The 27700-nt window shown below is 47.0% G+C and overlaps 1 long non-coding RNA gene across 1 annotated transcript, besides 2 other annotated features; it reads left to right on the forward strand.

Moving 5' to 3' along the window:
* Window positions 1-1061: 1061 nt before the first annotated feature.
* LINC00452 (long intergenic non-protein coding RNA 452) lies at window positions 1062-27276 on the forward strand. Its single transcript, NR_164112.1, has 8 exons — window positions 1062-1208; window positions 4485-4646; window positions 7750-7973; window positions 21755-22062; window positions 22824-22903; window positions 25394-25613; window positions 26682-26879; window positions 27009-27276. It is a non-coding gene; the product is annotated as a long intergenic non-protein coding RNA 452 (long non-coding RNA).
* Window positions 19138-20337: an enhancer, noted in NCBI's record as "BRD4-independent group 4 enhancer chr13:114616152-114617351 (GRCh37/hg19 assembly coordinates)". NCBI's record gives its function as "activates an origin of replication core promoter dependent on BRD2, P300/CBP, MED14 and CDK7 cofactors, and independent of BRD4, by STARR-seq in HCT116 cells {active_cell/tissue: HCT116}" and the evidence as "EXISTENCE:reporter gene assay evidence [ECO:0000049][PMID:35650434]".
* Window positions 25683-26567: an enhancer, noted in NCBI's record as "H3K4me1 hESC enhancer chr13:114622697-114623581 (GRCh37/hg19 assembly coordinates)". NCBI's record gives its function as "activates a minimal SCP1, AML or CMV promoter by ChIP-STARR-seq in naive H9 embryonic stem cells {active_cell/tissue: H9 hESC(naive)}" and the evidence as "EXISTENCE:reporter gene assay evidence [ECO:0000049][PMID:30033119]".
* Window positions 27277-27700: the final 424 nt, after the last annotated feature.

Consider the following 27700-nt stretch of genomic DNA (forward strand, 5'->3'; position numbering starts at 1 on the left):
ATATTGTTCACTTTTTCTATTATTAAAGCCCTTAGCACATTAATCATAGGTATTTTAAATTCCCGATCTGATAATTCCTAAATTTCTACCATATCTGAGCTGGTTCTGATGCTCATTTTGTGTCTTCTGACAGTATTTTTTGCCTTTTGGCACGCCTTGTAATTTTTTCTGGAAATCTGGACATGATGTGTTAGACCGAAGAAGCTGAGGTAAACAGACCTTCAGCCTTTGCTGTGAGGTTTTTGTTTATCTGGCTTTCTTTCTTGTCATATTGCACCAACCATGCCCTCTAGGACAATGGTGGAAAGAAATGGTTAGAATGGTCAATCTTGCCTTGTTTCCTATCTTAAGAGGAAACTGATATTTATGTTCACTCTAGGTTTTTAAGAATGTTCTTTATCAGTATGAGATAATTTCCTTCTATTTCAAGCTTCCTGGGTTTTTTCTTTAATCATTAATGGTTGTTGATTTTCAAATGTTTGTTATACATCTGTTGATGATTAGAATTAATCCTTTATTTTCTAATCATATAAATTACATAAATTGACTTTTTTTTTTTTTTTTTTTTTTTTGAGATGGAGTCTGGCTCTGTTGCCCAGGCTGGAGTGCAGTAGAGTGATCTCAGCTCACTGCAAGCTCCGCCTCCCGGGTTCACGCCATTCTCCTGCCTCAGCCTCCCAAGCAGCTGGGACTACAGGTGCCTGTCACCACACCTGGCTAATTTTTTGTATTTTTAGTAGAGACGGGGTTTCGCCATGTTAGCCAGGATGGTCTTGATCTCCTGACCTTGTGATCCACCAGCCTCAGCCTCCCAAAGTGCTGGGATTACAGGCGTGAGCCACCATGCCTAGCCATAAATTGACTTTTTAAAAATTACACTTTACTTTGAAGTATATGTAGATTCACACACAGAAGTAACACAGAAATCCTGTGTCCTCTTCACCCAGCCTCCCCCAATGTCAACTCACAAAGCTACAGAGCAACATCACAATCAGGACACAAACATTAGTGCAGTTGAAGCACAGGACATTTCCATCACCACAAGAACTCCAGTGTTTGCCTGCTTCTATCACACTCCAGTGCTTTTAAGCAGGTTTTCCCCCCATATTTTACCTAAAGTTTATAGCTGTTACCTGTGGAAAGGTTGGTTCAGTGGGGGCTATTCTGCCATTACCAAAAGTTGGGTCCTGTTCTCTACTTTTTAATTGGTAAGCATGCTTTGTAGTTATGGAAATCAACTCTTTGTAAGTGAATTGAAAACTCCCAGCCCCCAGTTTTTCTTTTATTTACCATGTTTTTTTCCCACAAAGAGTTTAAAAGTGTAAACATATTTTATTAGCTTTGTTTTTTGCAGTGCCTTCTGAATTTTTTATCCAGAGAGGTGTTAAGATTTTCCTGAGTGGTCTTCTTCATTCTAAGATTATAAAAATATGCACCTTTGCTTTCTATTACTTTCTGTCTTTCTTTTCCTTTTCTTTGTCCTGCCCTCCTTTTCTCTATCTTTCCCTCTTTTTTTTTTTTTCCAGCCATGAGTATTTATCAAGTGTGCCTATGATGCAAGAAAGAGAGATGGTCCCTGGTCTCACAGAGCTTATATCTTCATGACTCTGGGATCTGGCTAGATTTAGAAATAATTGCAGCAAGAACTTGTCTGTGTACCCATCAGCAGCACTGTATAAAGCACATTTTCACATTATCAGTCACTGTTACAGTGAAATTGTTAAGTGAGTAAAAATTATCCTTAAAATCTGTAGTCATAGAGATGACGTGGTATATAATGTCCAGCAAATGCACATTTATGGCTTGATTCCTCACATATCTGAGGGGTCTCCCTGGGATAATAGTTGCTATTTAGAATTGCCATCTTTCCTACTTTTAGGTGGAGTGGTTTTCCAGTTGAGTGTTCTTAAGATAAGCATTACTGAAAGGAAAGATAGCAGAAAGAATTTTTTCTTGGTTTCCCTCTTCATAGATGCCAGTGCTCCTGGATCAGAGTGGAGCCTCCTGCTCACGCACTACTTCTGAGAGCCAGTGGCGACCACAGAGGGAGTGCCCTCTTTCTTCTTTCACATTTAAATCTTTTTTAAAAAAAACTTATTAAATTTAATTTTAATTTGTGTATGTGTGTGTGTGTGTGTGACCAGGTCTTGCTGTGTCACTCAAGCTGGAGTGCAGTGGTACAATCATAGCTCACCCCTGGCTCAAATTCTTGGGCTCAAGTAATCTTCTCACTTCAGCCTCCTGAGTAGCTTGGACTACAGGCATGCACCACCATGCCCAGTGAAATTTTTAATTTTTTAATTTTTTTTCTCTACAGCCCCCAATTTTTTATTTCTTTTTTTTGTAGAGACTCACCAGGTTGCCCAAGCTGGTCTCAAACTCCTGGCCTCAAGCAATCCTCCTGCCTCAGTCTCCCAAAGTTCTGGGATTACAGGTATGGGCCATTGTGCCCAGCCTACATTTAAATCTTTGATCCTCTGAAGTGTGTTTTAATACATGCGATAAAGAGTAGAGAGGAGGAATTTTGTTTTAGCAAAATGGATAACTAATTGTCCTAATATCATTTATTGAAAAATTTATCATTTAAATATTTTATTTTGAATCCTCTGTATTAACCCTTAAGTTGCCATACCCTCTTCACAGATAGGGTATCTGAGAATAAGTTAAACATGCTCTTTGAGGTCACACCCCTGGAAACTTGAAACACCAGAATTCAAACTAAGTCTATAGACTCCACAGCTCACTTTTTGCCCCTTCCCATTATAAACCACCTTGTCTAGTGCCAGAGCTCAAAAGAGGCCGTGGGAACCCACTCATCTGCAGCCTCCTGAGAGACCGTGATTTGGAAAAGTTAAGGGCCCACCTGAGATTACCCAACAGCACAAGATATCATTAGTCTCTTTGTCTAGTGCTGCCTTCCAGGAGAACATGTTTTTGGAGAATGTCTTTGTGCTGCTAAAATAACTCAACTCCCTTAGATGGTTCAAAACATCTCAGCCTACAGCAAACTGGGCTTCATTTTGCACTAATAAGGTTCTATTGTTAATTTCAGAATCATATATTGCTATTTGAGATGCACCAATTGGCTTTAGATGGGAAAGGGTTATAAGAAATCGGAAGGTTTATGCTGCAAAGAGGGAGAGTAAGAGTTGGCATGTGGCTGGTACATTCCTTCCTTTTATGCTCCCCTTTTGTGGTGGCGAAAGTATGCTTTGCAGAGAGGTGAGAAGGAGGAAAAGCAGTTGGCTTGGCAGATGGACCAGGAGTGCTGCTCCCAACTGGGGCCCACGGGGCAGGAGCCCTCACATTCCACAGAGGAAGGTCAGCAGGAAATACTGACATCATGTCCGTGTCTATGAACGGCTGGAATGCTCTGTGGTTCCTGAACCATGTGAAAAATATGTGAGGTTGAAATGGGGAGATGCCCACTGCCATGAGCCATGTCTGCCAACATCCAGGTTTCCACCATTGGCTTCTCTTCAGAGCCCTGAGAGAGCAGCCCTGCAGACACTGTTCATGGACACTGACTGTGGCAAGAGGTGGCGACAGACCCTTGAGCTTAGTGGTCTATAGCTAGTAGGATTGATGATGGGGTAATGTGGGATTGATAGGGCGAGTAACATGGTATTAATAGTGGATTCTCTGTGGGGTGGCTGGGGGCATATCATGGGCCTGGTGGTTGTTGCAGCTCTGCTCTTGTCTTACTGTCTGCATGGTAGAGCTTGGCTAAAGCCAAAGGACACCCTGGGCCTATCTCCATTGCCCTAGAGGAGAAGGCAGGGCAGGTTCATTAGTCACAGCTGCTTCACCTGTTCTCTGTTCTCTCTGCTCTCAGGCTGTGGACAGTGCTGGGCCCACAGAAAAAGGTCCCTGACCTTGTAGACCAGGGCTTTGCAACCTATCTGTGGGGAATAATATGTTTTATTAATTTCCAATGTGGACAGAGATTTTAACACCCCCTTCCAGTACTTGTGATGTGGTTTGGACACCACGTCTCTTCGCCCACCACTCACCAGGATGGGACCAGACAGCCTCAGCCCTCCATCTGAGATAATACCCCAAGCAGGGAACCTCTTGGGAAAAGGCAGAGTTGCTATGCCAAATAAATCACATGTCCATTTAGTAATAAACCAACACAAATAGCACAAGTGGATTTTTGTGGCGTTTCCAAAGGTGAGCCTGTCTGTCCAGTGAAGCTGAGGAATCTGGACTGGGAGGACCCAGACTGCAGTCCGACCTCCAGCACCTTAGGCAGCCAGTGTTTCCAGTGCTGCAGCCACAGCTGAGGGGAAAACAGTTTACCAGACTTTAATGATGTTCACAAAACAACCACAGCCCTGGGCATGTTGTGTGCTCTTTGTAAATTAACTCACATAATCCTCACGACAACCTTCTAAGATGGGCACTGTTGCCTTCATCTCACCACGTTGGATGGCACAGTCACCAAGTTCCTGACCTCCTCTTCTCTATTGGTTTATTCGCAGGCCGGAAAAGAGGCATAAACTCGGAGAACCCAAGACCCCGGCCTGGCGTGCAGCCCCAGCAGCCGGACCAGCCTTGGGCAACAGCGTGCGACGTTCAGCTGTCTGTGTCTCCAGTGCTCCCATTCCATCGCACCTGAATGAGGGATTTGGGAGGTAAAACAGGCAAATAATGAAATATACAAATCTTCATTGTGCAGTTTTGATCAGTTGCTTCTCCTATGCAACCCTCACCCCAATAGAGACACAGCCTCTCGTCGGAACGCTCCTGCACACCCTTCTCGCAACCCCCACCACCTGCCCCCCACTCCCGACCAGAGCAGCCGCCGTCCTGGTGTCTCCCATCAGAGGTAAGTGTGGTCTCCCGACCAGAGCAGCCGCCGTCCTGGTGTCTCCCATCAGAGGTAAGTGTGGTCTCCCGACCAGAGCAGCCGCCGTCCTGGTGTCTCCCATCAGAGGTAAGTGTGGTCTCCCGACCAGAGCAGCCGCCGTCCTGGTGTCTCCCATCAGAGGTAAGTGTGGTCTCCCGACCAGAGCAGCCGCCGTCCTGGTGTCTCCCATCAGAGGTAAGTGTGGTCTCCCGACCAGAGCAGCCGCCGTCCTGGTGTCTCCCATCAGAGGTAAGTGTGGTCTCCCGACCAGAGCAGCCACCGTCCTGGTGTCTGCCATCAGAGGTAAGTGTGGTCTCCCGACCAGAGCAGCCACCGTCCTGGTGTCTGCCATCAGAGGTAAGTGTGGTCTCCCGACCAGAGCAGCCACCGTCCTGGTGTCTCCCATCAGAGGTAAGTGTGGTCTCCCGACCAGAGCAGCCACCGTCCTGGTGTCTCCCATCAGAGGTAAGTGTGGTCTCCCGACCAGAGCAGCCACCGTCCTGGTGTCTCCCATCAGAGGTAAGTGTGGTCTCCCGACCAGAGCAGCCGCCGTCCTGGTGTCTCCCATCAGAGGTAAGTGTGGTCTCCCGACCAGAGCAGCCGCCGTCCTGGTGTCTCCCATCAGAGGTAAGTGTGGTCTCCCGACCAGAGCAGCCGCCGTCCTGGTGTCTCCCATCAGAGGTAAGTGTGGTCTCCCGACCAGAGCAACCGCCGTCCTGGTGTCTCCCATCAGAGGTAAGTGTGGTCTCCCGACCAGAGCAGCCACCGTCCTGGTGTCTGCCATCAGAGGTAAGTGTGGTCTCCCGACCAGAGCAGCCACCGTCCTGGTGTCTGCCATCAGAGGTAAGTGTGGTCTCCCGACCAGAGCAGCCACCGTCCTGGTGTCTCCCATCAGAGGTAAGTGTGGTCTCCCGACCAGAGCAGCCACCGTCCTGGTGTCTCCCATCAGAGGTAAGTGTGGTCTCCCGACCAGAGCAGCCACCGTCCTGGTGTCTCCCATCAGAGGTAAGTGTGGTCTCCCGACCAGAGCAGCCACCGTCCTGGTGTCTCCCATCAGAGGTAAGTGTGGTCTCCCGACCAGAGCAGCCACCGTCCTGGTGTCTCCCATCAGAGGTAAGTGTGGTCTCCCGACCAGAGCAGCCACCGTCCTGGTGTCTGCCATCAGAGGTAAGTGTGGTCTCCCGACCAGAGCAGCCACCGTCCTGGTGTCTGCCATCAGAGGTAAGTGTGGTCTCCCGACCAGAGCAACCACCGTCCTGGTGTCTCCCATCAGAGGTAAGTGTGGTCTCCCGACCAGAGCAGCCACCGTCCTGGTGTCTCCCATCAGAGGTAAGTGTGGTCTCCCGACCAGAGCAACCACCGTCCTGGTGTCTCCCATCAGAGGTAAGTGTGGTCTCCCGACCAGAGCAACCACCGTCCTGGTGTCTCCCATCAGAGGTAAGTGTGGTCTCCTGACCAGAGCAACCACCGTCCTGGTGTCTCCCATCAGAGGTAAGTGTGGTCTCCTGACCAGAGCAACCACCGTCCTGGTGTCTCCCATCAGAGGTAAGTGTGGTCTCCCGACCAGAGCAGCCACCGTCCTGGTGTCTGCCATCAGAGGTAAGTGTGGTCTCCCGACCAGAGCAACCACCGTCCTGGTGTCTCCCATCAGAGGTAAGTGGGGTCTCCTGACCAGAGCAACCACCGTCCTGGTGTCTCCCATCAGAGGTAAGTGGGGTCTGTTTTTGAAAGTCACTGACACGAAACCGTGCAGAATGTACTTTTTGTGTCTGAGATTCACTCACCTCCTTGTGCAGAACCTTGAAGTCCTCGTGAAGAAATGTGGCCCCATTAGTGTCCTGCACCTTTTCTCCCCTCACTGATTGTTAGAAGCCAGGTGCTGTGCTATGCCTGCTAGGGCCAGTATTTGACAAATTCCCTGCTTCGCTAAAGAGGAGGGTTCGTGTCTGGAAGTCACGGGCCCGGTGACAGGCCCACTGTCTGTCCTGGAGGGCCAGACCCATCGTGCCAGTGAGTGCGGGCCTTGCCCACCGTTGTGTGTGCGGCCCTAGACACACTTGCAGAACTGGCCCCAATAGGGAGTTTAGAGAGAGGATTGCACAGGCGAGTGGATGAATGAGTGACATTTCAGAAGCTGAGGTTTGTAGCTGCTGCCTGCAATCTGTTCTGAAGTCCAGCAGCAGCAAAGGGGTGGGGAGGGGTCAGGCTCACCTGAGACAGGAAGGTGGGTTCCCCCAGGCAGAGGCTTGGCAGAGGGAATCATTGTTGGGACATCTCTAAAAATAAGTGACAGAAAGTTCCGAGTTCTCTCACGCAGTCTAGAAACACAGATTCTTACTGCACAGATTTTTCTTTAAAGTGAAGCAGGAATTTCAATGCTCTGAACTGACACCAGCAAACCAAGGCAGTTCTGGCTCATCCAAGGGTTGGGGTTCTTATTTCAAACTCGAGAGGCCTGGACTAAGATGCATCATCACTAACCAGGCTCCAACAAGGCAGAAATGCCGCTTTATCAAAACCACCGCAGGCTGGAGAGAAATAAGAGCTGCCTTGCCAAGGCTGGGACCGCCAGCAGAGGCATACTCAGCTTCCAGGTGGGGCCTGCCAGCTGGGGGCTGGCCCTGAAGATCACAGACTCCCAGACCGAGGGGGCGGGAAGGTCGTCTCATCCAGTGGGGACCCCTGTCCAGCCTTTTCTCCTGCTCTGTAGAACCTGTGGGGTCATTTCAGGAAACAAAATATACGAAGCTATCCAGCCTCAAAGCCATAAGTAACTAAGTAACTGAAAAATTAGACCCAAGCTTCCAGAAAAACGGTGCAGAACATCCTCCCACTCCCTTGGGTTGGGAGCTCCTAAAGGCGTTTCTTATTCCTCTCTGTTCTTCTGTCACGACCAGGGCTGAGCGTGCGTTCGAGCTTCTCCTGCATCATGACCAGGATGCTCTGGGACACCTTGTCCACGTCTGTGTCCACCAGTCCTGCTCAGAATCTCCCCAGGGGCTTTTCCACGATGCCCATCCAGGCGTCACCCTCACTCTAGGCCAGGAGGAGAAGGCATGCCCTGAGGATTCAGCCTCTTCTTCTTCATCCCTCCCAGCACCCAGTGTGTTGGGTGCACACAGTAGGTGCCCCATAAGTATCATAAGACCACAATGTGTTGGGTGCACACAGTAGGTGCCCCATAAGTATCATAAGACCACAATGTGTTGGGTGCACACAGTAGGTGCCCCATAAGTATCATAAGACCACAATGTGTTGGGTGCACACAGTAGGTGCCCCATAAGTATCATAAGACCACAATGTGTTGGGTGCACACAGTAGGTGCCCCATAAGTATCATAAGACCACAATGTGTTGGGTGCACACAGTAGGTGCCCCATAAGTATCATAAGACCACAATGTGTTGGGTGCACACAGTAGGTGCCCCATAAGTATCATAAGACCACAATGTGTTGGGTGCACACAGTAGGTACCCCATAAGTGTCGGAAGACCATAGTGCTCCTAGTGTCTTGCTCCTAAACACCGCACTACTCACTATGCAACATGGTTTGCACAGGTCTTCAAGGGAGAAAAACAAACTTCTCAGAACTCTCCAGCAAAATACAAATGTTTTGGTATTGAATATATTGTATTTAACTCAAAGCATTGGATGCTGTCAGGCTGGCCAGGTGATATTTATGAAGAGTCTTACAGGCATTTGTTGTCCCAACATTCTACTTCTGGGAATTTATCCAACGGAAATAATTCAAAATGCAGAAAAACTATGGCCAAAAATATTCATTGTAGTATAGCATTATTAGTACTAGTGAAAAATGTACACCAACCAAATGTCTAATAGGGAGGTTGTTAAGTGGCTGTGGTAAATTCTCTGAATGTATGGTCATGGAGAAAGAGAGAATAACATTTATCAAGAATTAATAACATTCCATCCATGAGTTATGATAAAGTAATCTGTGATAATTCCGTTCTAAAAGATATAAAATTATATATATGACATATAAGCCCAACCATTTTTTTCCTTGAACTACAATATAAGAGTTCTTAAGGGAAATATGGCAAAATGTTCAAGGATGGTTTGTGGTTTCTCTGGGTGATGGGACTGTAGGTGATTTCTTTTACATTTTTTTTCCCATCATGCGTGTATTACAATGGAAACTTCCAACGGGACGCCGGCCCCACCCTGTGTGCTGGTTTCTATGGCTACCTGTCATGTCCTCCGCACCCTCTCCTCTCCCCTGAATACAGTTCCTAGAGACCTTGAGTCCACAGCCCTGGGGCTCTGCACACTGCGGGTCCGGTGGTGTTTCCAGCGCCGTGTGGATGACTTCCCCGCGTGTTTCCCCCTCTACACAGTTGAGGAACAGAGAAGATCTCCACTTGCCAACGGACACAGCGCTAGTGAAGCCAATTATTGCTACATCCACTGATAAAGTTCGGGGGGAATTAAATTTTTTGGTCCATGGATGCAAATCGCCTCCAGGCACCTTTACTATCTCAGTGCTCTCCTCAGGAGGCTGCTGTTGGTGGCCAGGGATTTTGCCATAGCAAAGTTCTTACAGATTCCCAAACAATAGCACTCAGCTGTCTGCCTCTCTGGCAGGAGGACGGACATTCGCAGCTTTGGACTCATTTTCTTCCAAATATGAACACTTTCAAAGACAGGGATCTGCCAATGACTTTACCAGGAGGGCCTTGCCGGAGCTGTCACTGCTGTGGCATGCAAGAAAGCAAGAGTCCTCCAGGAAGCCGGCCAAGAGGCGCCTTCTCTTAGGCCAAACATGGGCAACATGAGAATAAGAATACACAAAATCAGGAGAACTAACAGGAGGCTGTGAGGAACTCACCCCAAATAATGAGGAAGCTGGAGAATAAGACCAGCCTGGTCCAACTAATGGCTGCTCCGTTGGAGGCACAGGAGTGCAGAGGCAGCGAGGCCTGCAGAAGACCCCTCGCTGCGCTGGGCGGCAACTCCAGTGAAAAGCTGCTAATCAAACACAACTGAATTCACACTATTTTAAAAATAAGTCTGTAAAGGCAAAACAGGTTAATAGTATTTTGACACTAAGCTTGTAGTTATAACAGATACTTTAAAAGGTCAATCCCAGTTACCACGGTGACTGCAGCTCAGGCACCGCAGAAGTGCGTGAGGATGAGAGTGAGGGAGCCGCAGCCTGGAAGGGTGGGTCCCAAAGTCTCACTGGCTGATAGGGTTTGGCTGTGTCCCCACCCAAATCTCACCTTGAATTGTAGGTTCCATAATCCCCACGTGTTGTGGGAGGGACCTGGTGGGAGGTAATTGAATTATAGGGGCGGGTTTCTCCCGTGCTGTTGTTGTGATAGTGAATAAGTCTCACACAATCCGATGGTTTTATAAAGGGCAGTTCCCCTGCATACACTCTGTCACCTGCCGCCCTGTAAGATGTGTCTTTGCTCCTCCTTTGCCTTCCACCATGATTGTGAGGCCTCCCCAGCCATGTGGAACTGTGAGTCCATTAAACCTCTTTTTCTTTATAAATTACCCAGTCTCGTTTAGGTCTTTCTTAGCAGTGTGAGAATGGACTAATACACTGGCAAATACCAGGGACAACTGTGGTGGTTGTTGTAACAAGAAGGATGACAGTCTCTGCCTACTGAGCACACAGTGTGCCGGATGCTGCAGCGCATGTGGGCAGAGAGGCCTCACTCTGTCTCACAGCGACCCCATGAGGCAGGTGTCACTGCCTCAAGCTACAAATAAAGAAACCGAGGCTTGAGAAGAATCAGTGACCTGTAGGAGATCACGCAGTTAATAAGCAATCAGGGCCGTGTTTGCAACCCAGACAGAACTTTCAAGCCCTTATCAGCAACATGGAAATAAATAACTCAAAGGTTAATTCCAGAAAGTTTCCTTACTCAAAGCGCATCTTGGCATTGATTTCACAGGCAGCAAGCCTCATCCCAAGCAATGCTAAAAGGTTTCATCACCCCAGCCCCATCCCCAGGCATCTGCTTGTCAGGCTTTAAGGTGATAAAGAAAGAGGAAGGATCATAAAAACACCCACGAAGAAATACAAGGGGGCTATCTAACTATTTTGGAATTAATCCCCTAGACTTTTGGAATGAGGATACATTGAGGAAAAGGTTATGGCAAGTTTGAGTCTGTCACCAACCTGCATCCGAGCCCCAGCAGGCCCTTCAGGTAACAAATCAAAGGCCTGTGTCCTGGTTCTTGCCCCTGCAGTCCTGGCCAACACTTTCTCTTAAGCGGCACCCACTGACCGGCTGCCTGGCAGCCTCCTCACCTTCCCTCTTCACTTGCTACATCTGATCCTTCAACAAGGCAGGAGTCCTGCGTCTACAGGCTTCTCCAGGAGCGATCTCTCTGTCAGGCTAATTAAACGGCAGCTACTCCCCAGGACAGTCCTGGAATCCTTGCTGAATCGTGGAAGCTCCAGGCAACCACAATACCCAGAATCTTTCCGTCACAGTTTAAGCCAGAGGTAGGGTCCCAGCAGGGGCCACTCGACCTTGCAGGAAAGCTCCCACATCCTACCCACGGGATGTTCTGGACCCCACTTCTGTTGTTGAGGTGAGGCTTTATTTTACTTCAAAAGTGTAGTACTTAGAAAAAAGTCAAGATAGTTGTATCTAGGAAGTAAAGATTCGTTTAATAAATTATTCAAAACTTCAGTATATCCTATTGCAATAATACTGAAACCAACTAAGAGAAAGGATGACGATACCCATCAAAGGGAAGTTAAGACCATCTTCTTAAGTAAATCAGAACCGGTGCCTGCACAGAATGAGCTGCTAAAAGAGATTTAAAAGCAATGAAAACACACAGATACGACCTGCCGTGTTCGTAATGTGCAGCCCAAGTGCGATTTCATATGACAGTTTCCCAAATTGCACCCTTCTGTGTGCAGATTTCAAAGTTTTGCCATATCCATGTGCTCTGAATTATTGTCTACCTAGGGCATCTTCAATAGACTCATTAAATACATTTAAATGTAAAATATGTTTACATTTAAATACATTTAAATACATCTGTGTGAGATTGAAGGTCCATTGTGCTGCCTGGTTTTTTCTACAGCACACTAAAATAAATTAGTAACTATTTTAAAAAATATCCATCCAGGTACCACCTAGAGCCCTGTCATATCCCCTCTGATCATCACCCACTGGCACTGGGTGTGACACCTTCCCCATGGGAACATGGCAGGACAACCCAGGAGGAGTCAGAGGACAGTGGGGGTCAGAACAGAGTGGGCAGCGCTGTGCGCAGTCCCCCGCCGGACGGCAGTGTCCTGAAATGTCAGCATGCTGGCATTTTATCCTACTCCTTTTATTAGGGAGCCTGAAATTTAAAAACATAGGCAGGCCCTGCTTATCAACACGGGTAATTTCCTATCTCGAGTGCATTCTCACTGAAGCAGGCCTTCCTATGATGTGTCCTAGGGAGATGGGCGTCACAGTTTGGGTTAACACTGAAAAACGTAAGGACAGTATAAAGATTTGAGTAGTAACCAAGATGGCACTCTTTAAACTTCAAACAATGTTTTTACAATTAATTTTTTTCTAATTATAAAAGTAATCCGTGTAGATTGCAGACCATTTGAAAAATACAGGAAAACACAAAGAAGGAAATAAAATTTATGCAGAGATAACCACTACTATGAAGTGGGCACTGAGTTCCATTAGGAAAAATTCCTAGGGGAGGAATTAGGGAATCAAATATTGAGTTTTCCTGTCAAGGGTGGTGCCAAGCTCTTCTGGTTGGCCACACATAGCCGACATGCCAGGCCAGCCTGCACCCTCCATCCCTCCACACACATCCAGAGCCGGGGGCCCAGGTGGCCTCTCCCACAGCTAAGGCTCAGCAGAGCCAAGGGTGGCTGCCAGGCCCGCTGGTGCCCTCTGCATGCATCTCTGCCTCTTGGGAATGGGCCAGGACTGCAGAGTGGGAGAGCGCTCAGGAAGGCTTGGTGGAGACAAACTGGCAAAGTGTTTTTAATGCTGCAAAACCAAATATATGCAAGAAAGCTGTAAAAATTGGAGGAAGATGACATTCAAAGGGATTCTGCCCTCAGATCACCATGACAGCATCTTTAATTCTTGCCTTAATTTAAGGAAATAAAGCGTAAAACCATGAGTGATGAATTATAAGATTTTTAAAATTTCTTTTCTTTTTGCCAGGAAAAAACAAATTCAAAGAGCAGACCTCACAGAGATGTTCTCACAAGAATCAAATCAATTCAGACTCATATATTTTAAGTTAAAAGGAAGCATTTGAGATGTATATGTATCATTGTCAATTTCCTGCTTTACCTGATTTTTTCACTTATTTGAAAATATTTCAACAAATAAAAGGGCTCCTAAGTGTTCAGCATGTTTCTGCATCTAGTCACCTGCTTTTTCATGTCCCTTAGTGGAGTTTTATATTTCTGTTTGCTTTACAAATGTGTACATGGTGGGTTTTATATTTTTATGCTCTCAGACTTACCGGTCCTCCCATCTCTGGTTTCTGCCTTTGGTATCATGCTGACATCTCTCAACTGACCCAATTTTTTCCTATAGTTCCTTACAAAATTTGTTGTTTCTTCAATATAAATTTTGTACTCATCTCTTGGCCTAACAAGTCCTGGGTATTTAAGATGCTGGGTTGTTATTTCGAACAGGCTCCCCCTCACTCTTGCTTGCGAGGTGGTTATTGCTAGCATCTGGGAATGCTATTGGATTTCTATATTGATTTTACTCACCATCATTGTAATTTCCTCTCTTAATTTTACTAACTTTGAGTCCATCCTTTGGGGTGTTTGGGAAAGTTTTTTGGCTTGAAGTTCTGACTCTGGAATCAGCCAGACCTGCGTTTGCATTCCAGGAGTAGCATCTGTAAGACGTAAGCCTTGGGCAGGTCCCGATTCTCTGCAAAATGTGTGTGGAATGAGACAGAGTGGCTGGAAAATGTATACAGGGCCTGGCACAAAGAGACGCTTGGATGTGTCATCTGCAGGTGGTGATAGTTTCTTTTTCTTTCTTTCAAATACTGCACACTTTGTTTATTTGCTGATTGCTCTTGCTGCACTGGTAGAGCTTCTAGAGGACCTGTGGCTACAGACGGTCTCCTGCTGCAGCCCTGAGCTGGAGAAGCCCCCTGTTTTTGGGCTGAGGGTGCGGGTGTTTCACGTTCAGGGTCAGGAGGCTCCTCTCAATTTGTGCATGGTGCAGACGTCCCTGTGGTCTTCTTTGATAGATTTGGGGAGCCTGAGTTGCTTCTGTGGCTGAAGAAGTTCTCAAGTCCCGGTAGGAGGAAGCCAGGGAGCCTTTCGGTGCTTCGTGGATTGGATATGCCATTAAATACCTTACAGGGACTGCGCTTGGCTGAAGTCCAGGTGGTTTCTGGGACAGCTGGGCTCAGGGCAGGGTCCTGTCGGGCTCCCTGGGTGTCAGCGGCACCTGCCCCTGCAGGTGCTGCTCTTTGAGCCTCCCCACCCCCACTTCTGCTCCCACCGGGAGGATCTGCTGGCCTGGTGGGGCCCAGGAATGCAGAAGACTTTCCTCCTCCTCCCCCACCTTTCTTCTCTCTTGGTTATCTCTAAGTCTAAAGGGTTGTGGAAATGTGTTGGGCAAAAACAGATGGGAAGCCTCCAGGGAGAGGCAGCCTGTCTTCAGCAGGGAGATTCATGGCTTTCGATGTACAGCCAGGAGGGTGAATAAAAGCTGGCACGTAGAACACATTCAAGTGCGTTTTCCACTGACTTTAAAAAGCAAAAACTTGTTAAGGAAGTTTCCTTTTATTTCTGGTTATCAGTAATTATTTTTCAGGTAAGGTTGCTAAATTATATCATTGCCTTTTCAGCAATAATGATGAAAACCAAAGGATTTCCTCTTTTTGACCTACTTCCCTTTCTGATGTGATGAATTAGTGTTTTAAATGTATAACATGTATAAATATGGCTATATTTTCTAATATTGAACCAATCTTGCAATCTTAAGATAAACACAGACAGGTCTCATGTATTATTATTTTACTATGTGGCTAGATGTGATTTGCTAAAAATTTGATTAGAAATTTCTTTTTAAGTTTTTAAGATCAACTTTATTGAAGTATAATTCATGTATAATAAACCCTTTGGAGTGTCCAATTCAATGACCCACCACAACCAAGATACAGAACGACCGAGCCCTCCCTCCAGACTCTGCGGATTCTCTGCAGCTAGGGCCCCTTGGCCCCACACCTGGAGCCGCTGATATGCTGTCACTGTGTGTTTGTTTGAATTTTTTGCATTACACGTACTGCATTCTGATTATCCACCTTCTGTTGATGAACATTTAGGTGGTTTCCAGTTTTTGGCTTTCCACTTCTCCTGGATCAACACCTACAAGGGGAATGGCTGCATCATATGATAGGTGGAAACTTTCAAACTGTCTTCCAAAATCGTGCGATGTGCTGGCTTTTCTGGTTGCTCCACATCCTCACTAATACCAGCTACAGTCAGTCTTTTTCATTTCACCCTTTCTAGTGGATTTGTACTGGAGTCTCTTTGTGGTTTTAATTTGCATTTTCCTGATATGCTTATTCAACACCCATATATCTTTTATGTCTGTCTAAATCATTTGCCCACTCTTTTGTTGGGTCATTCGCCATCTTCTCATTGATGCATAAGAGTTATTTATCTTAGACACAAGTTTAGATATATGTATTGCAAATATTTTCTCTATTCTATGATTTGCTTTATTGTTCCCTTAATGGTGTCTTTCCCAAAGCAAAAATTTTAAATTTACCAAGTTTTTCTTTAATGGTTTATGGTCTTTTGTGTCATAGCTAAGAAATATTTGCTGGCTTTGAGACTTTCTTCTAGAAGTTCTACAGTTTTTGGTTTTACATTTAGGGCTATGATTCATTTTGAGTTAATTTTGGTGTATAATATCAATCAATGTTCATTTTTTCAGCCAGGCGCAGTGGCTCACACCTGTAATCCCAGCACTTTGGGCAGATTGCTTTAGGTCAGGAATTCGAGAACAGCCTGGCCAACGTGGTGAAACCCCATCTCTACTAAAAATACAAAAATTAGCTGGGTGTGGTGGCAGGTGCCTGTAATCCCAGCTACTTGGGAGGCTGAGGTAGGAGAATCGCTTGAACCTGGGAGGTGGAGGTTGCAGTGAGCTGAGAACACACCACTGCACTCCAGCCTGGCAACAGAGTGAGACTCCGTCTCAAAAAAAACAAAAAACAAAAAACAAAGGATTTTTATATCAATAAAGGACATTGGTCTATGGTTTTCTTTTTTGTTATTGTCTTTACCTGGTTTTGGTATTAATATTAATTTTGTAAAATGAGTTGGAAAGTGTTCTTTCCTCTTCTATTTTCCAAAGGAGATTGGGTGGAATTATAAATTCTTTAAACATTTGGTAGAATTCTCCAATAAAACCATCTGGGCCTGGAGATTTCACTTTTGGCAATTTTTAAATTACAAATTCAATTTTCTAAATAGTTGTAAAACTATTCAAATGATCTATTTCATATTGGATGTGTTGTCGGGTTTTTTTTTTTAATGAATTGGTCAATTTCATCTAAGTAGTCATATTTACATAGAATTGTTTGCAGTATTCCTTTAATATCCTTTGATGTCTGCAGGGTCTTTAGTATGGCCCCTGTTCATTTCTAATATTGATAATTTATGCCTTCTCTCTTTTTGGTCAGTCTTGCTACAGATTTGTCTATTTTATTGATCTTTTTAAAGAAAAAGTTACTTGTTTCCTTGATTTTTCTCTTTTGTTGTTCTTTTTTCAACTTTGTGGATTTCTGTTCTTATCCTTATTATTTCTTTCCTTCTGCTATTTTGGGTAAAATATTATTTTGCTTTTCTTTTTCTAGGCTCTGGAGGCGGGAGCTTAGATTACTGATTTGAAACTTTTCTCTTTGCTAATATAGGTATTTAGTATTATAAATTTCCCTGTCAGTACTGCATTAGGTATATCACTTAAATTTTGATTTATATTTTTATTGTCATTCAGTTTAGTGCATTGATTTTCTTTGACTTTCTCTGTCACCCATGGATTCTTTAGAATAGTACTGCTTAGTTTTCAAGCATCTGGACATCTTGTTATCTTTCTGTTATTGATTTCTAACTTGATTCTATCGTGGTCAGAGAACACATTCTCTGTTTAAAATTCTTTTTAAGTCTGTTGAGATTCGTTTTATGGCCCAGGATATGGTCTATCTTAGTATACATTCCATTGGCATTTGGAAACAGCATATATTCTGGTGTTGTTGAGTGGGTGTTCTGTAAATGTTGATTAGATTCTATTTGTTGATGGTGTTATTGGGTTCTATGTTCTTGCTGATTTTCTGTCTAGTTATTTTATCAATTATAGAGAAAAGCATGTTGAAGTCTCCAACTATAATTGTAGACTTGTCTATTTCTCCTTTATGTTCTATTAATTTTTGCCTCACATACTTTGTATATCACTATTAGGAGCATACATATCTAGAGTTCATTCCTATGTCTTTTCGGTGGATTGACCCTTTTATCATTATACAATGTCCCTCTCTATCTCTGGCAATTTTCTTTGTTCTGTCGTCTATTTTATCTGATGTACTATAATCACTTCTGCTTCTTTTTTGCTTAATGTTTACGTGATAAACTTTATTCCATTCTTTAACTTTCAACTCTTCTATATTGTTATGTCTGAAGTGAGTTTCTTGTAACTAACACATAGTTAGGTCACAGTTTTTAATCCATTCTACAAATGTTTGTCTTTAATTAATGCAGTTAGACCATTTACATTTAATGTAATTATTGATATTTTAGGACCTAAGTCTGACATTTTTTTTTGTTTTCTGTTTGTTCTGTTTTTCAGTGCTCTTTTTTCCTTTTCTGTCTTCCCATGAGTTACTTGAACAATTTTTATAACTCCATTTTGATTTTTCTATAGTGTTTTTAAGTATATCTCTTTATATTAGTTTTTAATGATTGGTCTAGATATTACATTTATATAAATAGCTTATCACTGTATACTTGTATCATCATTTTACCACTTTGAGTAAAGTATAGAAACTTCACCTCCCTTTGTCTTTTTTATCTCTTATCTATGATATAATTGTCATAAGTATCTCCTCCAGATATATTAATATTTAGAGCTACAGTGGTTTAATTTTTGCTTCATCAAATATAATTTAGAAAATTTGAGAGGAGAAAAAAGGCATATTATATATATCCATACTTTTGCTACCTTGTTCTTCCTTCCTGATATTCCAAGTTTTCCTCTTTGATCATTTTCTTTCTGTGTAGGGAAGCCCCTTTAGCCATTCTTTTTGGATGGATATGCCAGTGACAAATGTTCTTAGTTTTCTTTCAGTTAAGAATGTCTCAATTTTCCCTTTCAATCCTGAAGATTATTTTTGCTGAATACAGACTTTTGTGTTGGCAGTTTTGTGTGCTACTTCCTTCTAGCCTCCACGGTTTCTGATGAGAAATCTGTTGCCATTTGAATTGCTTTTCCCTATGGGTAAAATGTCATTTCTCTCTGTGTCTTTACTTTCCAGAAGTTTGACTATGATGTGTCTTGGTATGAATTTTTTTGAATGTATCCTGTTTGGAGTTTTTTCAGCCTCTCATATTTGTAGGTTTATGTCTTTTGCCAAATTTCTTAAGTTTTCAGTCATTTTATTTTTGGTTTTTCCAGCTCCATCCTCTTTCTCCTCTCCTTCTGAGATTTTGATGACACGAATTCAGATCTTTTGTTATAGCCCCAGAAGTCCCTGAGGTTCTGTTCATGTTTTTTCCAGTCTATTTTCTCTCTGTTGTTCAGATTGGGTAATTTTTATTGTACTTCTGTTTCGCTGATTCTTTCCACTGTTTCTTCAATTTTGCTGTGGAGCCAACCCATTGAGGTTATTTATAAGTAAGGACTTACTACTGCCGTTGTGTTGCTTGTTTTCTGGTTGTCTCATAACTCCTCTCCTCCTCTCTTTCTTTGTTACTGTCATCCTTTGTGGTTAAGTGGTTTTCTCTGGTAGTATGTTTTAATTCATTGCTTTTTATTTTTAGTGTATCTATTATAGGATTTTGCATTATGATTACTGAGGCTTACAAAAACACTTTATAGACATTTTGAAGAGATGACAACTATCGTAGATCTGTTTGCTTTTTAAATCATTTTTCTCTTTAATTTATATGGTGTTTATCAATCTCTTTAAGCTTACTACTATTTTCCTCTATTAAACCTGAACTTTTTATTTCAAATATTGTATTTTTTAGTTTTAAAATTCCATTTGGTTCTGTTTAATATTTTATATTTTCCTGCTTAGATTTTTTTATATTTTCATTCATCATAAGCATACCTTTACTTCACTAAGCACAGTTACAATAGCTGTTTTAAAGTACTTGTCTGGTAACTCCAACAGTCTTTTCATCTCAATATTGGAAACTAAAAGTTGTCATTTCTTTTGAAGATTGGTAATATTTTTCTTGGTCTTCATATGTCAAATAATTTTGGATTTTATCCCAAATATAAATTTTATGTGTAGTGGCTCTGGATTCTATTTCTCCAGAAAGTGTTGACAATTTTTGCTTTAGCAGGCAATCACCTTCCTCAAGAGAGGAAGTTTCTAAACCAAGGCGAGTGGTCTGCAGAGCAAAATCAAGGCAGGCAGACCTCCTCCATCCAAGAGGGCTCTTGGCTTCACTTAGGAGAGATTCACACACACACACCGACAGTGGAGGAAGCGTTGATCAGGAGTGATTCACACATGAGCCAACAGTGGAGGAGGCATTGATCAGGAGTGATTCACACATGAGCCAACAGTGGAGGAGGCATTGATCAGGAGTGATTCACACGTGAGCCAACAGTGGAGGAGGCATTGATCAGGAGTGATTCACACGTGAGCCGACAGTGGAGGAGGCATTGATCGGGAGATGATTCACACGTGAGCCGACAGTGGAGGAGGCATTGATCGGGAGATGATTCACACGTGAGCCGACAGTGGAGGAGGCATTGATCGGGAGATGATTCACACGTGAGCCGACAGTGGAGGAGGCATTGATCGGGAGATGAATCACACGTGAGCCGACGGTGGAGGAGGCATTGATCGGGAGATGAATCACACGTGAGCCGACGGTGGAGGAGGCATTGATCGGGAGATGATTCACACGTGAGCCAACGGTGGAGGAGGCATTGATCAGGAGAGATTCACACGTGAGCCGACGGTGGAGGAGGCATTGATCAGGAGAGATTCACGCGTGAGCCAACAGTGGAGGATGCATTGATCAGGAGATGATTCACACATGAGCCAACAGTGGAGGAGGCATTGATCAGGAGAGATTCACACATGAGCCAACGGTGGAGGAGACATTGATCAGGAGTGATTCACATGTGAGCCAACAGTGGAGGAAGCATTGATCAGGAGATGATTCACACATGAACCAACAGTGAAGGAGGCATTGATCAGGAGATGATTCACACATGAGCCGACAGTGGAGGAGGCATTGATCAGGAGAGATTCACACATGAGCCGACGGTGGAGGAGGCATTGATCAGGAGTGATTCACACGTGAGCCAACAGTGGAGGAGGCGTTGATCAGGAGAGATTCACGCCTGAGCTGACGGTGGAGGAAGCGTTCATCAGGAGAGATTCGCACGTGAGCTGACAGTGGAGGAGGCGTTGATCAGGAGAGATTCACACAGAATCAGACAGTGGAAGAAGCATTGATTAGGGCGACAGGGCACAGCCAAAGGCTGCTGCACGGACAGAGCAGGGCTGTCCACTGGCAAAGGGGCCCCCTCAGATTGCTGGCTGGCTGTTTATACCTCCACCTAATTACACGTAAATGAGGGGTGGGTTATTCACGAACCTTCTGGAAAGCGGTGTGGAGGTCATGCGGTCCTGGTAACACAGGCTGCTTCCTTTTCAGTGACCAGCGTCATTTGGCGCAGCCCCCAGAGTCTCATGACAACGACCTTGTTCTGCTCAAGAGCCCTGTACGGTCCCCTCTTCTGTGGATGGAAACTGAGGCACAGCAATGACAGCATCAACGGAGCCACCCTGCTCCTGGCTGTGCTCTGCAGGAGCCTCCACTCGGGGGCAGAGGACAAACAGCCCCACACTTGGAAGCACAGCTCGGGAGCAGCAGCTGAGTTGCGCTGTGAGGAGATGCCAGGCGGCTGTTTATCCATCGGCTGCTTGCAAGTGATGGGGCCGGGTTTACCCTCCTTTCCTGCCCATGATTTGGGCTCTTGGCAAATCAAAGGTTTAAAGATACCAGCTCTTGGAACCACAAAGTAAACACAGCATATCTTCCTAATTCCTTTCACCACGCGGTGCACAGTTTTATGTGCTAATTGTGTTTACTGGAAGAACTCATGGCTGGTTCAAACAAATTCTTATCGTGGAAAAAACGTCTCCCCTGCCGTCAGCTGCTGGTACTGGTGGGATAGGAGTGCAGCACGGAGCACAGAGGCTGGAGCTGGGTCAAACCGGGAGGCAAGAGTGCAGGTGCACTGCTCCTGAGCTCAGCAGGCCCCACGGCATCTGCTGTGTGTAGAGGGGCTGACCGTAGATCGCTGCTTATTGTGGTTCCGTTTAAGAGTCCTCCCTGGCAGGATCCCTGCTCCTTAAAAGCACAGTGCAGAGCATCTTAGCTCCGATGCACCAAGCATGCCCCAGCTGTGCCTCAGCGAGGAGGGTGAGCTCTGGGCCAAGACCCCCTCTCCTGGTCCGGGACCCCTGAGCGCTTTTGACTCGGGATGACTGACAAAGTCCCTGGCCGGGTTTGTTCTTCCCAGGCTGTCCCAGTGGCTTCTGAATTTTTGGCCCATGTCTTGGGTGTAGAAACTACAAGAGAATTTTAGTAGAGCAGTGTGTTGTTGGCAAGCAAGTTAGATCATCCCACTGAGCTTCTGTGACTTTCCTCTTTGCAGTTATGGTTCCAAACCAGAGTTTCCCTAGGAAATAAACACGGAGGGGCTGAAAGGACCTGGGGCCATCGGGGGTGGATGGCCATATCCTGGGGCCTTGATGCCAGTGCCGACTGTTCCCTGCACGCTTCCACGTCCACGCCAACATTGCAAGGCTATGTCACGGACTGGAACAGCTACAGTGATGACACACCTGAGGTGAACACAACTCCAGCAGCATCCTGGCCTCTCATGGGGCAAGTGCATGTGGAATCTAGAAACTTCACAGCTGAGCCTGCAAAGGTGCTCATGGCATGCAGAAGTGTTTCTGGGTAGGTAAAGCCCAGGCTAATCGCAGGTTCAGTGACCCGACAGTGCATTTAGGACAGTGATACTAGATGGGACGACCAAGCTCTGTGAGTTACACAATGGGGTGAGTTAGACAGTGGGGTGAGTTACACAATGATGGGGTGAGTTACACGATGGAGTGACTTACATAATGGGGTGAGTTACAAAATGGGGTGAGTTACACAATGATGGAGTGAGTTACACAATGATGGAGTGAGTTACACAATGGAGTGAGTTACACAATTGGGTGAGTTACACAGTGAGGTGAGTTACACAATGATGGGGTGAGTTATACAATGATGGGGTAAGTTATACAATGATGGGGTGAATTACACAATGGGGTGAGTTACATAATGGGGTGAGTTACACAGTGAGGTGAGTTACACAATGATACGGTGAGTTTCACAATGATGGGGTGAGTTACACAATGATGGGTGAGTACACAGTGGGGTGACTTGCACAGTGGGGTGAGTTACACAATGGGGTGAGCTACACAGTGGGGTGAGCTGCACAATGATGGGGTGAGTTACACAATGATGGGGTGAGTTACACAGTGGAGTGAGTTACACAGTGGGGTGATTTGCACCATGGGGTGAGTTACACAATGATGGGGTGACACAGTGGGGTGATTTGCACAGTGGGGTGAGTTACACAATGGGGTGAGTTGCACAGTCAGGTGTTACACGGTGGGGTGAGTTGCACACTGGAGGCTTCAGGCTCGCTCCCCCTTGCTCTCCCCCAATAGATCCAGTGGTAGGAAGTCATTTCAAGCAGCTTGTGAACATTCACAGAAGCAGCTCAGGATCATCCTGCTGCTTCTGAGAGGTAAGCTGGACAGGTTACTGCCTCTGACATGGGGGAGGAGAGAAAACTCCTGAATTTTGGTGCCCCCAGATATATCGTGGATCAAGAGGTCAGTATTATTCCATGCTTCTTCCCACTGTGAAACAAAATGAGACGTCTAGCGGGAGCCTCGCGTTGCCAGTGAAATCAACCCAGATGTGCAGGCATGAAAAAAAAATAGCCGGAAAATCTGCCCAGGAGACCAGGGACAGCCAGGAGACACAACGCCAGGGCCGGGGCGCTCCCAGCAGGGCTGGCCTGACGTTGCCACCAGTGTGGAGGGTCCCCAGTGGGGCATGCGGGACACGCCCCGGAGGCCCGTCGGGAGGTCAGGCAGTCCCACGGGGGAAGCAGCTCAGCCCAGTGAAGTGGCCGTCCACACTCTCAGAGGAGCCTACCACGTAAGGCACTGGGAGTTGAGTGACCCTGAGGGCCACAAGGCTGGGAGAAGATTCAGAGCTTGCACTCTTTGTCCATAGCCATAGCTGGCTGTGTGGGATTCAAATGGAAAACAGAGGGTTCCAGAAACCATGGTGACCACAGACAGCCCTTGCCTCTGCAGGGTACATCAGGGCTCAGAATGTGCTGTCCCCCTTATCAATCATCACTGAGACCTCAGCAGAATGAGAGGGCCCCGCAGAGACAGCAGGCAGGGGCCAGGCCTTGGAAATGCTGCACACGGACCGGACCCCAGTCGTCCTGCCACGGCCATGCCCATCTCGGCTGAGGCCACCGAGGTCTGGAGAAGGTCCTCACTTGCTCAAGGACACACGGCGGGTAGACTGGCTAGATTCATGCTCAGAGTGTTTCCTGCCTCTCCCCGGGGCCCCTTGATGTCAGGTTTGGGTGACGCTTTCGCCAATGTCCTGGCCGAGCAGATGCCTCAGGGGCTATCATGTGGTTCCACCATGTCCCCATCCTCCAGCCCACAGAGCCTCCCATGAGAGGCATCCTTCAGCCTGGGTCCCAGAACTGAGAGGCCATGGAGCAGAGCTCCAGCTGACCATCATGTGCCTGTAGCGCGAGTGAGAAGCACACGCTGTCGCTGGAAGCCCAAGACACAGGAGGCCATTTGTTTCTGCAGTGCAGCCCGGCTCAAGCTGACTGATCCCAAGTGAGGCTCAAGCCTGCCTGCCCAGCCCCGGAGCCACCACTTCTGCCCCACAACCCTGCCTCTCGGGGTGACAGGAAAGGCAGTTCTTACGCATCGTAGAGAGGAGGCGGGTGCAGTCGCTGCAGTAAACAGGAGCTGATAAGAGCCAGTGGGACTGAAGAGCTGCCTGCTGGGGAGCGGCTCTGTGGAATTCCACCCCGGGCACGGTGGGCACACGTGTCACTCTTGGCAGGTGTGGACACTAATGAGACTTTGGGTACAGCTACCTGCTGGGGCCTAGACATTCCGTGGGGCAGCGGGGGCACCCGGGGCAGTGCCTCACCCCGACACCAGGCCAGCAGAGACTGGTGGACCCCTCTCTTCCCCAGAGTGGGCCCATCAGGATGCCCAAAGCTCCCAGCTGGTGGTCACTGATTTTGCACTTTGACCCGTCCTCAAAACATGAGGTCTCTGTGAAAGCATAGACACCTTGAGAGTCCCAGCATATGGGTGTGTGGCTGATCTCCCTTCCCTCCTGGCAGGAAACCCAGAGCCCTGAGCAGTTGTCACCCAAGATGGTGGCCCCAGAGCCACCTGGCCAGGCTCCCCACTTTTTCCTGAGCTGGACTCTCATGGCTGGTAACAGCCCAGGGTACCCCTCCAGCTCTGCCCTCCCAACTCTGGCTGCCCCCAGGTGTTCCCCGTGTCCAGCCCTGTGATGGGGAGTGCAGAGCGAGGCTTGGAGGGTGGGCGGGGAGCAGGTTCTGATCTCAACTCTTCCGTGCTCTGGGTGAGCAAGGCGGCTGCCTAAGGTCCCAAGGACAAGAGCCCGCAGCGACGGTCAGGATCATTGAGGAGAACGCCTGGAAAGTGCTTGTTGAGTTCTCTGTCCATAGTAGGTGCTCGGTAAATGTCAAAGATTTCCCAAATATTTGTATTGCTGCCAAGCTGAAGCATTTAGAAATGCATCAGTTTCATCTCCTCTTTGTGGTTGGACTTGGGCCCAGAAGCTGGTCCCCAAAGTGGCTTCACTTGTAGGACCAAGTATGAGCCCAGCCCAGCCCACAGCTGCCGCGCAGCCCTGCGACCCATTGGGTTATAAGGTGGAGGTCTCGGAGCTTCTGCTAGGAGCCCCCACCAGCCTCTGAGTCAACCAGAGGCCCCGGCGGCTGACCCCCTACAGCCCCCGGGGCCACAGCCCGAAGTGTGGGTTGAAGGGCTCCTGGCAGAAGCCTGGCCTGCAAGCACCGGCATCCAAGCTTCCACAGCAAAGTGATCCCATGCCAGGAGCAGACGTGACGGCTCCCTCAAACCAGGAAAACCTGTTTAAAATTCCACATGTCACCGTGGGCCTTCCTTTTCCACCCTCCATCGTCCAGCAGGTGTCGGGCCCCAGGCTGGAGGCCACGTGCCAGGCTGGCAGGATTTGTCCACTGTGAAGCTCGACGCCCCCGCAGGCCCTGTGCTGCCCGCCCGGATCCCCCTGCCTCAGGATGCCCTCCACACCCTCCGAATTCCCAGCCGCTGCTCTGGGGCCTGCACAGAGGGCTTGGGCCCAGCACCTGGAAACTCCAAAGAGGCAAACGGGTTCATGTCCAGGTAAACCTCAAGATGTGGCTCTGAGGAGTTTCCTTTTATGGGTTTTACTGCTTTTTAAAAACACTCCTTATTTTCGAAATAGAATGTGACGCCCCACCCTCACCCTGTCCAGGAGGCCCAGCCAGTGCCTCTTCTGTGCCCCTAGACACCTCTGAGAACTCCAGGCACCAGCATTAATATCCTGGAGCCCTGGAGCCCCGGAGCCCCTGAGTGTGCCAGATCCTGAGTGTGCCGGGCCTGAGTGTGTGCCAGGCCCCAAGTGTGCCGTGCACTGTGTGTGTTGTGCCCCCAGTGTGCCAGGCACTGAGTGTGCCAGACCCCGAGTGTGCTGTGCCCTGTGTGTGTCATGCCCTAAGTGTGCTGTGCCCTGAGTGTGCCAGACCCTGAGTGTGCTGGACCCTGTGTGTGCTGGACCCTGTGTGTGCCAGGCCCTGAGTGTGCCATGCCCTGAGTGTGCTGGGCCTGTGTGTGCCAGACCGTGTGTGTGCCAGGCCCTGAGTGTGCTGGGCCCCATGTGTGCTGGGCCTGTGTGTGCCAGACCGTGTGTGTGCCAGGCCCTGAGTGTGCTGGGCCCCATGTGTGCTGGGCCTGTGTGTGCCAGACCGTGTGTGTGCCAGGCCCCATGTGTGCTGGGCCCTGAGTATGTCAGGCCCTACAGGCAGCGCCTGCAGATGGAGCTCACAGAGAGGCTAGAGGGGGAAATCTGCTTAAAGTCTTGTCTGCTCTCTTCATCCTTCAGTGGATGTGGAATTTAATCTGGCAGATACTTACATGGCTGCTGGATGGTAGAACTGTACAAGGTCCACCCAAGTGAGGAGGGAGCTGTGAGGCGTGGTGGGAATGGAGGATGGGGGCTGTGGCCTACTGGGCTCCCTGTGTCCACCCCACATCCACCCAGTAACTCATAAGCCACAAATAGATGTGCCTTGATCTACTTAATGCCTCATTGCTAGATAGTTGGATTGTCTCCTGTTATGCATTTGCCACCCAGAGCCTCATCATTCCTCCTGTCATTACTTTCTAGTGGGAGAGTGGGTCAAAGGTGTGAACTCCTGTATTCACCCCTAGGTTTTGTCAGATCGCTTCCGAGGCTGCCCTCTTCGCCGTGGCTGCTGAGTGCAGAGCTGGGCATCTGAGTGGACAGAGTGGTGCTCCGCTTCCTTGCATCTCCTGGGCCATGCGTGGTGACCTGTGCCCACTGCATCGCTCCTGTGTGCCCTGTGCATGTGACCGTGTCTTTCCCGTGTATTCAGTGCTGCTTCATGTGTGAGTTTCTCTGTGTTCCAAACCCCAACTACAGTGATTTTACAGATGAACCTTAATAGATGTGAAATCTATAAGTAGCTATTAATCTTTGTGTCATATTTACTGCAAATATTTCCCCCACTCCACTAGCTTCCAGTTCCGCTTTGTGGTTTGTGAGTGACCAGTGCATCCCGTTCCTGCTGCAGCAGCTGCAATGTGCACTGTCCTGCAGGAAGCCCTCGGGGTAGGGCCTGGGGGCTGTGGGAAGCTCAGCAACAAGGTAAGGGAATGGGCAGCTTTGTTTTATTTATTTATTTATTTTTACTATTTAATTATCTCACCTTATTACACTTTAATTAAAATATCGATCTTTACACAATACACTTGAACTGTGGAATAAAGCAGGACCAGATGTGGACCCTGGAGCTGACAGTTACTTGCCTCCCACCCAGCCACGTCCTAATTCTCTTTTTGCAAAAGCAACTACTTGTCCCTGTTAAAGCTGTTCCTTCTGGTCATGACTGTTTTATCACAAAATCATATGCCTCTATTTTTGTTGCTTGACTTACCCATTTTAGACATTATCTGTTTATTTCCTGCTGGACAGGTATTTTAGCTCCATCTCCCCTACTTCCACATCCACACTATAATTATATCTCTATTTTTAGTTAAATCCATAGTTAGTATTTACATTTTCATGACTAAGTAAATATTGCTTATGACTGAGCCAAACAAAGCATGATGGTTATTTTTCATTCCATCAACAGCTTCCCCCTGCCCTTCGCCCACCCTGATAGTTTTGACTTTTTTTCTCACAACACATTCTCATGTGTGTTCATAGT

This window comes from Homo sapiens, chromosome 13 (assembly GCF_000001405.40).
Source record: "Homo sapiens chromosome 13, GRCh38.p14 Primary Assembly".
NCBI classification, from domain to species: domain Eukaryota; kingdom Metazoa; phylum Chordata; class Mammalia; order Primates; family Hominidae; genus Homo; species Homo sapiens.